Here is a 13321-nt window from a genome sequence, read left to right on the forward strand (position 1 = left end):
ACCAAAAGCAAAACTCTGGCATGAAATATTCAAAGCTGTTCTAGCCAGTTGCATTAACAGAGTGTCAAATTTATGGAGACCCCATGCAAGGAAGTAGTGCTTCAGAGGACATAGCAATGTTGACAACTAGGACAAAAGCATGCAAATAAACACACCAAGCTATAACAAGAATTTAAGCTCACCAGACTAGAAGGAATGACATTTGTACATTTTAAAGTGAAATGAAAATGAAATTGTAAATATATCTACCTTGAATTGTTAAAAACAAAATTACAGAAAGAGAGTTTAAAGTCAGTTTTTGAAGAGTTAAAATATTTTTATGGCTTTATGGTAGCCGCTGTTACGCCATAAACCTCTATTCTTGCAAGTGGAATACATTCTTTTTATGCTTAAAACTTTCAAGTCCTTACATAGAAGACAAGGAAACACTTAAATAAATGATAGAACTACAGATGAAAAATAATCGGGAAGTATCTCATCATTTTATGATGAGATTTGTACGTGGACAGAACACATTCTTTCTATTTTGTTGTTCTTGCTGCTAGTAATAAAGTATTGGTCATTATTAACAGGATGAACAAATGGAAGCTCGATTGTTCATGAAAATGGTTTGATAGCAAATTAATCTTGTATAAAAGAGCACAAATATTTTTTGTGTGTACTATGAATTTTATATGAAAATGATTAAAATATTTCAATAAACTAAGATCTTCGGAGAATATGTAAATACTCAAATCTCTCCCACTTCACATTTCTTTCTATTCAGTGAAATCAACTTGTTTCCCAAAGTTATGATTCTTGTTATAGGCTTACATGCTGTGTTGTAACATTTTATATATTACAAGAATGATGAAGAACCAATAAGTGTAAATAATTTCAAGAGGATTGAAACAAGGGAAGAAAGAAGAGGGTGGATCTTAGGTTGTCTGAGAGAATTGGGACAATTTTATGACTTTTATGGAATTATAAAATAATTGTACCTGAACCTTACAAATTTGTATTAGTTCCAACCTAAAAATGTGAGAGTGAGGTATAGATGCCCACATGGTTTCTCTTCCAGCACTGCAGAATTTTTTTAAAGCTGGCTCTCTTGGAACAGATACGAATCTCTCTCATGTTAACGTAATCATAAAATTTCAGTGAGATGGACCCTAATATTTATAAGTTTTAGAGATAAGTGAACAGAACAAAATTAAGCCCATTCTGGCTTTAGACAGAAGTAAAATTAATTTGATAGAAACATTCAGTAATTAAGCTCATCCAACAAATTAATGGCAGAGAATATCTCTGTCAATTGTGCCAATCATATTTTTTGTTGTCTACTATTGCCTCCATTAGTTGACAAAAAATTTTTTTTCTTGAAAGTACAATAACATTCTCAATGTGTCTGAATTTTTTAAATTAATGGAGTGTATAATCTCTTAGTTTGGTGGTTGTGATTAAGTGTGGAAATATAGTTTCTGAAAGATACCTGATTCTTCAAGGAATAAATCAGTTTGAATTTGCCAATGGAATTGGTCAGATAATTTTTTTATTTCAAGCCAATTCATGATTTGCCCATATATTAGTAGGTTAAAGCAGCTATTTAAAACCAAAACTTACTTTTGATTTAAAAAATAATCTCATAGAAGTCTTTAATCCATTTTAATTTTATTTTGCATATGACAAAGAGATAGAGATCTAGTTTATTTCCTCTGTATATGGATATGTAGTTTTTCCAGCATCATTTATTGAAGAGACTGCTTTTTACACAGTGTGTGTTCTTGGCATCTTTGTGGAAAATGAGTTCACTGTAGGTGTGTGGATTTGTTTCTAAGTTCTCTATTCTGTTCCATTGGTCTATATGTCTATGTTTACATTGCATAAAACTCTAGAATTCAAAGGATATAAGGCAAGGACAGGCATGAGCAAACATTTCAAAAAAGATTTAAATAAGCTGTGTAAATACTGGTAGGCGTTTGTCTAAAAATAATGGTTACGTTTCACCGAATTACACATTAACTCTGTTGGCATGGAATCTATTATTGTTATTTTGATCATTGTTTTTTATATTCCACAGATTTTTCTTTGATTACAGAGGGAAAAATGTTAGATTTTACATAGAAAAAAGTCAAGATTTCTTTCAACTACACTGTTCAAAAATTTTTTTAATTAGCTATTTGCTCAAATAGGTAGAGGAAAAACCTGTATCTCTCATTTAATACAGTTGGTCAAGACAATTCTTTCCTTGACAAAGTCTCTACTTGCTTTACATTCAAAGGCAGCACTGAGAATGCCACAAATGGAACTGTTAACCACCCTGTCTTGGTGACACAGAATTTGCATCCCAGATGAAGTAGTAGTTGTATAAAAGGGAGGTCCTTATTGTATCAGAAGATCACAGTTTTGCCTGTTTTAAATACTAGGTGGTCCAGGAAGTGGAAAGGGTACTCAGAGTTTGAAAATTGCAGAACGATATGGATTCCAATACATTTCTGTGGGAGAATTATTAAGAAAGAAGATCCACAGTACCAGCAGCAATAGGAAATGGAGTCTTATTGCCAAGATAATTACAACTGGAGAATTGGCCCCACAGGTACTGCTGTATAATTATCTTTTATTCTGCAAAATGTTTTCATACCGATTGAGTATACTAAGTTTAACTGTGGGGTTTTTTTGTCATCCTTTCTGTTTATAAAAGGAAACAACAATTACAGAGATAAAACAAAAATTGATGCAAATACCTGATGAAGAGGGCATTGTTATTGATGGATTTCCAAGAGATGTTGCCCAGGCTCTATCTTTTGAGGACCAAGTAAGAATATCTCCTTATATTTTAAATGAACTACTTTTTGCTTAAAATTTTGGGAATAAAAACAAAAAGACTTCTTGGAAGACTTGCGATGCTTTTGAATGAATTCTGGTCTGAAAACAGGCAAATACATCAGTATGGGTTGGCAGAAGGTCATTTCTTTGGCAAACACTTAAAAATTAAAGACAGTCTCTGCCAAAAGGAAAGATAACTAATAATAGAATTCATTTTATTGAAAAATGCAAATCTCTCTAAAATTTATTTCAAAATACTTTTCATACAATTTTTTTTTATTTTGAATTACTAAGAATAAGCCTTATTCAGTACTGTCCAGGGATGCAAAACATTACCCTGTACTTATATTCATGCCAACTAAGGAAACTTTCTTCAGGTTGTGAAATACTGAACCACCTACGTAGATTAAGATAGGGTTCAGTTGCCAAAATTTGAGTAGGCTATGCCTGCTCAACCCCCAATACATCTGTTTTAAAGGAAAATAAATCAATTAAAATATTTTATATATCTATTTAAGCTTTGAAAAGCTTATGTTAATTGATTTTTCATTAAAAAAAATTAAGGCTGGACTCAGTGGCTCACGCCTGTAATCCCAACACTTCGGAAGGCTGAGGCGGATGGATGGCTTGAGCCCAGGAGTTCCAGACCAGCCTGGGCAATATGACGAAACCCCATCTCTACAAAAAAAAAAAACCACACACACACACACACAAAATTAACCGGGTATAGTGGCGCACACCTATAGGCCCAGCTACTCAGGAGGCTAAGAGAGACTGAGAGGCAGGAGAATCACCTGAGCCCAGGACATCAAGGCTGCAGTGAGCCAAGATGGCACCACTGCACTTCAGCCTGGGTGACACAGCAAGACCCTGCTTCAAAAAAATTTTCTTTTAATTACAGAAGTAATATATGCTCATACAAATTTTAAGTCTATCTGTAAAACGTGAAAGTCCATCAATACCCTCCCATTCCGCTGCTCCTCCTTTCCTGAGAAATAGGAGTACTGTTAGGTTTGTTATATATTCTTCCAGACCTTTTTCTATACTTACATGCATACATACATGTATGGACACATGTGCACATGCTCATATACAAATGCATTCTAAATTTTTATAATGACTTTTCCAAGTTATATCAATGTTGAATGACAGTATCTTTTTCTACAGACCCTTTCCAACCAGATACGATTCATGTTTAAAATTTTTGCAAACCTGATGAGTAAATGGCATTTTGTGTTTTAAATTTGCATTTCATGGGTTACTATTAAGGTTAAGTATATTTTCATACACTCATTGGCCATGTGTATTTCTTCCTTATGTGAATTGCTTGTTCTCCTTTGCCCATTTTTCTACAGACTTTTTAATCTTTTTCTTATTTATTTCAAGGAGCATTTAACATATTACAGATATCGTATTAAACAGTATTAAGTAAAATATGATGTCAGTTTATGCATCACATGAAAGAAGCCTGGAGTTGGGCAGTTCACGGCCAGGGGTAGCTTTACAAAACATTTTTTTGAATGTTCCCATTAACGGTTTTGGATCACCTATTGTGCTAGAATGTCTGCCTCCCCTTCTTAGGTTTCCTCTCCCACCATAAGTCCAGAAACTCTGGTGCTCAGTCAGCTTAAAGGCTTGGTTCTAATTGTTCTGGCTTTGAAGAGAGAAAAACTGGAAAATATCTGATGAAGTTTTGTTATTGCTGTTGCTACCACATTATATTGCTGTTGAAAGCGGGTGCTATGGCAGCCATTCCATGTGATTCTTGATTATTGGTAGAAGTGTGATAGGCAGGGAGGCAGGCATTGCCACCCAAACCTGGTTCTCCCACCCACATATTGAATGTGCTAAACTTGGTAGGTACAAGCAGATGAAGCTACTTGATTTTTTTTTAATTGCTTTTTAAACATGCTATGTTGAATATCTTTCTTTTTTGTTGAATTATAACTCAGGAAGAGTCCCTGGCTTTTCTGGTGACTTAAAAAACATTAACAAAATATCTCATTTTCAGCTCTTAAAAAGTCCAGTCCAATCTAAATCAAAACTTTAATTTCGTATTCACTTTAACATATATCTGCTGTCCCCAGCTTGGACCAGATTCAGACTCAGAAAGCTAAGGTGGTGTATCAGAATCCTGAAATTCCTACTCATGTGACTTGCAGTAGGTGGGAGAGGGAGGGAAGAGAGGATTCCCTCCGAAAAGCATAACCCTCTGGTAACTCTCTGGATACCTGATCAATCTACATCTTCTCTTATATAGCCTAGTCACGGGTAACAGTACCGATTTGGGGTCTGTTAGCAAATTCTATAGGATGGTCTGTTATCTCTATGTAGAATGAGCAGTAACTTACATTTATTGTTTTCAACCACACTTCTGAGGCTGAAAAGTTCCAATTTAACATCTTCTTAGGTTGACATTCCAGCAGCCTAGAGGTTCTTTGCCACTGTGGGCAGTACAGAGGTGTCTGAGGTCAATGTCATCTTTGCTCATCCTGCGGGAGTTAAGCGGGTGTGGAGGCAAAGCTGAAATGTTTATGTAAAGCAGTGTCAGGGTCAGCCCTGATTATTCTACACCCTGTGTAGGCTTAAGCTTCTGGGGTGTCTTTTTTTCTGCTACCACTTCTGAGACCAAATGTGTGGGGTCTTCCACACCAGTTCTCCAATTCTCCAACACCAACTGGGTGCCTAAGAATTCAGTTCAACTTGGACACTATCCAGAGTTAGTTCAGACCCCACAGGTTAAGAGCTTAGTTCCACAAGTCTGTTCCTGCTTCAGACATCAGTTGCAAGTCCCAGCAACCACCTGTACTTCTGATTGACAGTCTATAAATTCAAGGTTTCCATAACACTCTCCACAGGTTGTATAATTCACTGCAGTGACTCAGAACCCAGAAAAACACATTTAGTGGTTTATCATAAAGGATACAACTATATTTTTTTTATTATACTGCATCTCCTCAAGGTTTTGCGTTAACTTAGTTTTTGTTTGTTTGTTTGTTAGTGCAAATGTAGGCACATACACACATGCCAACATTTTCCCCAAGATTTCCTCACAGATCTGGGGTGTGAGAAGAGGTGAATTTCTGGTATCAGCCATATATGGGTGATGGTCAGACCACTGTAACAAAAGGGCCTAACACTTAAATGGCTTTTAGGATGAAGAAGTGTATTTTTCTTCTTTTGGAATAGTCTCCATATGAACAGTCCAGCTTGACTGGGCAGCTTTTTTCCTTGAGATCATTTAGGGACCATGGTTCCTCCCAGGTTTTTCTGCCATCTCCTAGGACACTGTCACTGGCCGCGTGGTTGAAAAAGTGTTGTCATCACATATGGGTTCCAGCTGGAATGGACGGGGAAGAGAATGTGAAGGTCTGAAGTCTCAGATCTGGAAGTGACATCCATCGCTTCTGCTCACAAGGCATTGCTGAGAATTTAGTCCTGTTGGAACTGAGAGGAAGGCCGGGAAGTAGAGTCCAGCTGGGCAGCCAGGTGCCTGGCAGCAATGCTATTACTATGGAAGTCTGGGAGAACTAACTAGCATCTTCTCCCACAGTTTGCCTCTCTGGCCATGCAAATGCTCGCCTGCTCCCTTCTTCCCACACATACAATGTACTCACTCACTCCCCAAGTAAAACAACCAGAGTCCCATCATTTAGTTCAAAAGTGGAGAATCTCTACTCTATATATAGTTTTCTTCATCAGGTCTAGCTTTGACTTCTCATACTCAGCCACCTGGAAACTGAACTTCATGTTATCTTCCTTGTCTACCACTAATAAAGAGTGGAGGAGCAAGCCCAGGACAATGAAATAAAGGCTCCTATTCAAAAAAGGAAAGTTTGAGAATATACACAGTACTCACTGAACCACAGTGAATCCTGTTAGGCAGGGATTGCAAAGGTCCTTGCCCTGGCAGTTCCTCTGAGAAGTTCTTCCTTGTCCATTATCTGCATGACACATTGAAGTAGTATATTGGAGACTAATATGCTATCCTCTCCTTTTTTTTTTTTTCCTAAGTGACAAGATCCTTCTCTGTCAGCCAGGGTGGAGTGCAGGGGCACCACTGTAGCTCACTGCAGCCTCGAACTCCTGGACCACACTCAGCTAGTTTTTTAAAAACTTTTTGTGGAGACAGGGGCTCCCTGTGTTACCCAGGCTGGTTTCAAACTCCTGGCCTCAAGTGATCATCCTCTCTCAGCCTCCTAAGTGCTGGGATTACAGGTGTGAGCCACTGCAACTGGCTGAGACCTATTTTAAGTTAAAAAAAAAATGCCTTTTTTTGGCTAGAATTATGTTTATTTTGGTAAAAACTGTTTCTTTCCAAATTTGGTAGATTTCCTCTCAAAAAGAGGAAAAAGCAAAAAGCTTCCAGTCCGTGCTAGTAACTATATCATAAGTCCTTTTCCAGAGATAGTTATTAAGCTGCTTTCTTTTTTATCTTCCCGTTTTTCCTTTTTCTGTTCATTTTTATAGATTGAGGGTACAAGTGCAGTTTCATTACGCAGATATATTGCATAGTGGTGATTTCTTTGCTTTCTCATTTTAATGACAATTAGCTTCAGGCCATCTAAAACAGCAGGCTTGGGTAGAAAGGCAGCATCCTTAGTCTAGGTTTTGCTTCAGGGCTAGGTGCCCTGTTTTTTGGTGGTAGTGGTGGGTAAATGGGAATTCTTTTTGCAATAGCCTAATCTCCTGCTGTTTGGAGGTATACAGGCAGTTGGCTTTTTTAACCTTGTGCGGTCTTAAATTAGTGGATACTTTCTTTTTTCTTATATCTGCTCGCAAAGCAGTCAATTCTTTCTTGAGTTAATCTATTTCTTGTAATATGTTGCTAAACGCAGCAAAGAGCAGTCAGTGTACACAGACACTCTAGCTCTTTCCAGCCATTTCTTTAGCTATGGGCTCCATTGGAACATGACCTGCCTCCCAAGTTATCACAGTAATAATGATGTTATGCAATGACATAACAGGGGTTATCAATTTTCCATCCTAAAATGTCTGTGCCCTTACTACCCAAGCAAATCAATGTCGCATGTTTTAGTTTTTTTGATATAGTAGCATGCCCCCACTTATGTAACTATTGGCTGTATTATTTAGAGTAAATCCCAGGTGCTATAATAGAAAGACACAATGACACAGTAGCATAATACAGAAACTTATTTCCCTTTTATATAATGGATGGCCTCACTGTGAATGAGGGGAGGACAGTTTTAGTCCTCACATTCATGCAGAGATGCGGGGTTTTTTCCAGCTCATTGTCTTTCCAACTCTAGAGCAACAGCTCTAAAATTTTTGGTCACAGGACCTCTTTACACTTTTTAAAAATTGTTAAGGACCTCAAAAAGCTTTCATTTATATGTGCTATATCTATTGATATTCACCATATGAGAAATCAAAACAAATTTTAAAATATTTGTTAAGTCCTTCAAAATAACAATAAATCCACACAAGTTAACTTGAATAACATATTTTTAGAAAAGTAATCATATTTTCCAAAACTTAAAAAGTGTTGAGAGAGATATTGCTTTATATATTTGCAAATCTCTTTAACTTCTAGCTAATAGAAGAGAGTTGTATTCTCATATCTGCTTTTGTATTCAAACTGCTGTGACATCACACTTCCTGTCGCCACTGCGAAACTCCACTGTACCTTTGTGAGAAAGTGAGAGTAAAAAAGGCACATAATGTCATAGTGTTAGTAGGAAAATAGTTTTGACCTATGACCTTCTGGAAGGGGTCTTGACGATCCTCAGAGGTTTAAGAGCACAATTTCAGAACAACTGCCCTGGGACATTGTAGACATCTGCATGTTGAAAGCTAGGTCACTGCCATGGCCAGGTTCCAGCTGATTGGAAGGGGAAGAGAGTGCAGAGGATCTATGCTCAAATTCTTTTTTAAACTTTTTTTATTTTAACTTTTGTGGGTACATAGTAGGTATATATATTTAAGGGGCACATGAGATATTTGGATACAGGTGTGCAGTGTGAAATAAGCACATCATGAAGAATGGGATATCCATCCCCTCAAGCATTTATCCATTGAGTTGCAAACAATCCAATTACACTCTTTAAGTTATTTTAAAATGTACAGTTATTATTGACTATAGTCTCCCTGTTTTGCTATCAAATAGTAGGTCTTATTCATTCTTTCTAACATTTTTTGTACCCATTAACCATCTCTGCCTCCACCCCCCGACACATCCGCAACCCCTTATTACCGACCCTTCCTGGCCTCTGATAACCATCCTTTTACTGTCTATCTCCATGACTTCAATTGTTTTGATTTTTAGATCCCACAAATAAGTGAGAACATGTGATGTTTGTCTTTCTATGCCTGTCTTATTTTACTTAACATAATCACCTCCATCCATGTTGTTGCGTATGACAGGATCTCATTCTTTTTTATGGCCAAACAGTACTCCGTTGTATATATGTACCATATTTTCTTTTCTTTTCTTTTTTTTTTTTGACATGGAGTTTCATTCTTGTTGCCCAGGCTGGAATGCAATGGCACAATCTCGGCTCACCGCAGCGTCTGTCTCCTGGGTTCAAGCAATTCTCCTGCCTCAGCCTCCTGAATAGCTCAGTTTACAGGCATGCACCACCACGCCCAACTAATTTTGTATTTTTAGTAGACACGGGGTTTCTCCATGTTGGTCAGGCTGGTCTCGAACTCCAGACCTCGGGTGATCCACCCGCCTCTGCCTCCCAAAGTGCTGGGATTACAGGCATAAGCCACCATGCCCGGCCTTATGTACCACATTTGCTTTATCCATTCATCTGTGGATGAACACTTAGTTTGCTTGCAAATCTTAGCTATTGTAAACAGTCCTGCAACAAACATAGGAATGCAGATATCTCTTCGATATACTGATTTCCTTTCTTTTGGCTATATACCCAGCAGTGGGATTGCAGAATCATATGGGAGCTTCATTTTTAGTTTTTTGAGGAACCTCCAAACTGTTCTTCCTAGTGGTTGGACTATTTACATTCCCATAAACAGTGTACGAGGATTCCCTTTTCTCCACATCCTCGTCAGCATTTGTTGTTGCCTGTCTTTTGTATATAAACCATTTAACTGGGGTGAGATGATATCTTATTGTAGTTTTGATTTGCATTTATTTGATAATCAGTGATGTTGAACACTTTTTCACATGCCCGTTTGCCATTTGTATATTGTCTTTTGAGAATGTCTATTCAAATCTTTTGCCTGTCTTTTGATTAGATTTTTTTCTGTAGAGTTGTTTGCGCTCCTTGTATATTCTGGTTATTAATCCATTGTCAGAGGGGTAGTTTGCAAATTTTTTTTGCAACCCACCATTCTGTGGGTTGTCTTTTTACTTTGTTGCTTGTATCCTTTGCTGTGCAAAAGCTTTTAAATTTGATGTGATCCCATTTGTCCATCTTTTCTTTGGTTGCCTGTGCTTATGGGATATTGCTCAAGACATTTTTGCCCAGACCAATGTCCTGGAGATTTCCCCCAGTGTTTTCTTTTAGTAGTTTCATAGTTTGAGGTCTTGGATTTAAGTCTTTAATCCATTTTTATTTTATTTTTGTATATGGTGAGAGATAAGGGTCTAGTTTTATTTTTCTGCATATGGACATCCAGTTTTCCCAGAACCATTTATTAAGGCAGAAAGAGACTGTCTTTTCCCAATGGATGTTCTTGATACCTTTGTTGAAAATGAGTTCACTGTAGATGTGTGGATTTATTTCTGGGTTCTCTATTGTGTTTGATTGGTCTATGTGTCTGTTTTCATGCCAGTACCACGCTGTTTTGGTTACTACAGCTCTGTAGTATAATTTGAAGTCAGGTAATGTGATTCTTCCAGTTGTGTTCTTTTTGCTCAGGATGGCTTTGGCTATTCTGGGTCTTTTGTGGTTCTATATACATTTTAGAGTTGTTTTTTTCTATTTCTGTGAAGAATGTCATTGGTATTTTGTTAGGGATTAGATTGAATCTATAGATTGCTTGGGTAGTATGGATATTTTGACAATATTGATTCTTCCAATCCATGAAAATGGATTTTTTTTTCATTTTTTGGTGTCTTCAGTTTCTTTCATCAGTGTTTTATAGTTTTCATTACAGAGATTGTTTGGTTAATTCCTAGGTATTTAATTTTATGTGTAGCTATTGCTCTAGCTAGGACTTCTAGTACTATGTTGAATAATGATGGTGACAGTAGGCATCCTTGTCATGTTTCCAATCTTAGAGGAAAGGCTTCAGTTTTTCCCCATTCAGTATGATACTAGCTGTGGGTCTGTCCTATATGGCTTTTGTTATGTTGAGGTATCCTCCTTCTGTCTCCATTTTTTTGAGGGCTTTTGTAATGAAGGGATGTTTAATTTTATCAAATGCTTTTCAGCATCAATTGAAATGATCATGTGATTTTTACCCATCATTCTATTCATATGATGTATCATGTTGATTGATTTATGTATGTTGAACCATCTTTGCATCCCAGAGATAAATCTCACTTGGTTATGATGAATGATCTTTCTAATGCATTGTTGAATTCAATTTGCTAGGTTTTTTTTTGTTTTTTTTTTTTTTTTTGAGGATTTTTGCATCAGTATTCATCAGAGACATTGGCTCTTAGTTTTCTTTTTTTTGATACGTCTTTCTCTGGTTTTGGTATCAAGGTAATACTGGCTTCATAAAATGACTTTGGAATTATTTCCTCCTCCTCTATTTTTTGGAATGGTTTGAATATGATTGGTAGTAGTTCTTCTTTAAATGTTTGGTAGAATTCAACAGTGAAGCCATCTGGTCCCAGGCTTTTTCTTAACTGGGAGATTTTTTATTGCAGTTTTGATCTTGTTACTTGTTACTGGTCTGTTCAGGTTTGGGATTTCTTCTTGATAAGTGGCATGCATCTCAGAATTTGTTCATTTCTTCTAGATTTCCCAATTTATTGGCGTATAGCTGCTCATATCAGCCACTAATGATCCTTGAATTTCTACAGTATCAGTTGTAATGTCTTCATTTTCATTTCCAATTTTATTTATTTGGATCTTGTCTCTTTTTTTTCCTAGCCTGGCTAAAAGCTGCAAATATTTTCTTTGTCAATTTCATTTTACTTTTCAAAAAACCAAATTTTTGTTTCCTTAACCTTTTATTGTTTTTTCATTTCAGTTTCATTTATTTCTGCTCTGATCTTTATTTCTTTTCTTCTACTAATTTTTTTTGTTTGATTTGCTTTTGCTTTTTTAAAATTCAGGATGCATCTTTAGATTATTTATTTGAAGTCTTTCCTGTTTTTTGATGTAGGCACTTATAGCTATAAACTTCCTTCTTAATACTGCTTTTGCTGTATCCCATAGATTTTGGTATGTTTTGTTTTCATTATCATTTGTTTGAAAATTTTTTTCAGTTTCCTTCTTAATTTCTTGATTGACCCACTGGTCAATCAAGAAATTATATTTGTATAATTATATATCACATATATTTGTATTTTTTCCAGAATTCCTCTTATTATTAATTTCTATTTTTATTCCGTTTTGGTTAGAGAAGATGCTTGATCTTATTTCAATTTTTTAATGTTTTAAGACTTATTTTGTGACCTAAAATATTGTCTGTCCTTGAGAATGATCCATGTGCTGAGGAAAAGAATGTGTATTCTGCAGCTCTTAGATGAAATGCTCTGTAAATATCTATTAGATACATTTGGTCCATAGGTGCAGATTAAGTATGAAGTTTCTTTGTTGATTTTCTGTCTGGAAGATCTTTCCAATGCTGAAAGTGAGGTGTTGAAGTCTCCAATGCTTCTTCTGTGTTCTCCCTCCCCTGGCACCCAGAGAGGCTCTCAGAACTACACCGCCACTTCCAGGGATGAGGGAGGAGTGGCATCTGCAATTTAGGACTGTTTTTTCTATCTTGTCAGTACTTCTTTCAGCAATATGAAGTTAAAACCAGGTACTGTTAGTGCTCACCTGGTTTTCGGTTTTCATGAAGGTGTTTTTTCTATATAGATAGTCGTCAACTTGGTGTCTTTACAAGAGGGACGATGGTGGAGCTGTCTATTCTGACATCTTGCTCCGCCTCAGGTGATGCTCAATTTCTTAAGTCCCAGACACATCATTTCTCATGCTCCATTGATGAGAATTTAAGTCACATGGCTTTATCTCGACTGTAAAGGAGGTGGGAAATGTGATCAAGTGGTCAGTCATGGGTCTCTACAGAGCTGTTATCATGGAAGAAAGGAAAACAGGTTTTGATAGACAACTAGGAGTCTACCACAAGCCGCTTGCAGTGCATAGCGCCATTTTTCCTTACTTCTCAGCCCAAGAGCTGGACTCTCCCAGTCCCCAGGCCTGTCATTTTAAAAGAAGAGGAGGAGATAAGACTGTACTTATCTGCCATAGTAGCCACCTGGCCCTACTTCTTGGCTTTGTATAGTAGTTTCTCCAGGAGATGGAGCTTGCAGTGAGCTGAGATAGCGCCACGGCACTCCAGCCTGGGCGACAGCGAGACTCTGTCTCAAAAAAAAAAAAAAAAAAAAAATCTTTTTCTCATCTTT

The 13321-nt window shown here is 36.9% G+C and overlaps 1 protein-coding gene across 8 annotated transcripts in view; it reads left to right on the forward strand.

Moving 5' to 3' along the window:
• Window positions 1-13321, forward strand: part of AK5 (adenylate kinase 5) — a 277948-nt gene that overhangs the window by 13135 nt on the left and 251492 nt on the right. For all 8 annotated transcript variants that reach the window (NM_174858.3, XM_005270739.6, XM_017001012.2 and 5 more), the window contains 2 exons: window positions 2406-2575; window positions 2681-2794. In NM_174858.3, the coding sequence (NP_777283.1) occupies window positions 2406-2575; window positions 2681-2794 (284 nt within the window). The remainder of the gene's footprint in view (window positions 1-2405; window positions 2576-2680; window positions 2795-13321) is intronic.

The sequence above is a fragment of the Homo sapiens genome, chromosome 1 (genome assembly GCF_000001405.40).
Source record: "Homo sapiens chromosome 1, GRCh38.p14 Primary Assembly".
Taxonomy (NCBI): Eukaryota; Metazoa; Chordata; class Mammalia; order Primates; family Hominidae; genus Homo; species Homo sapiens.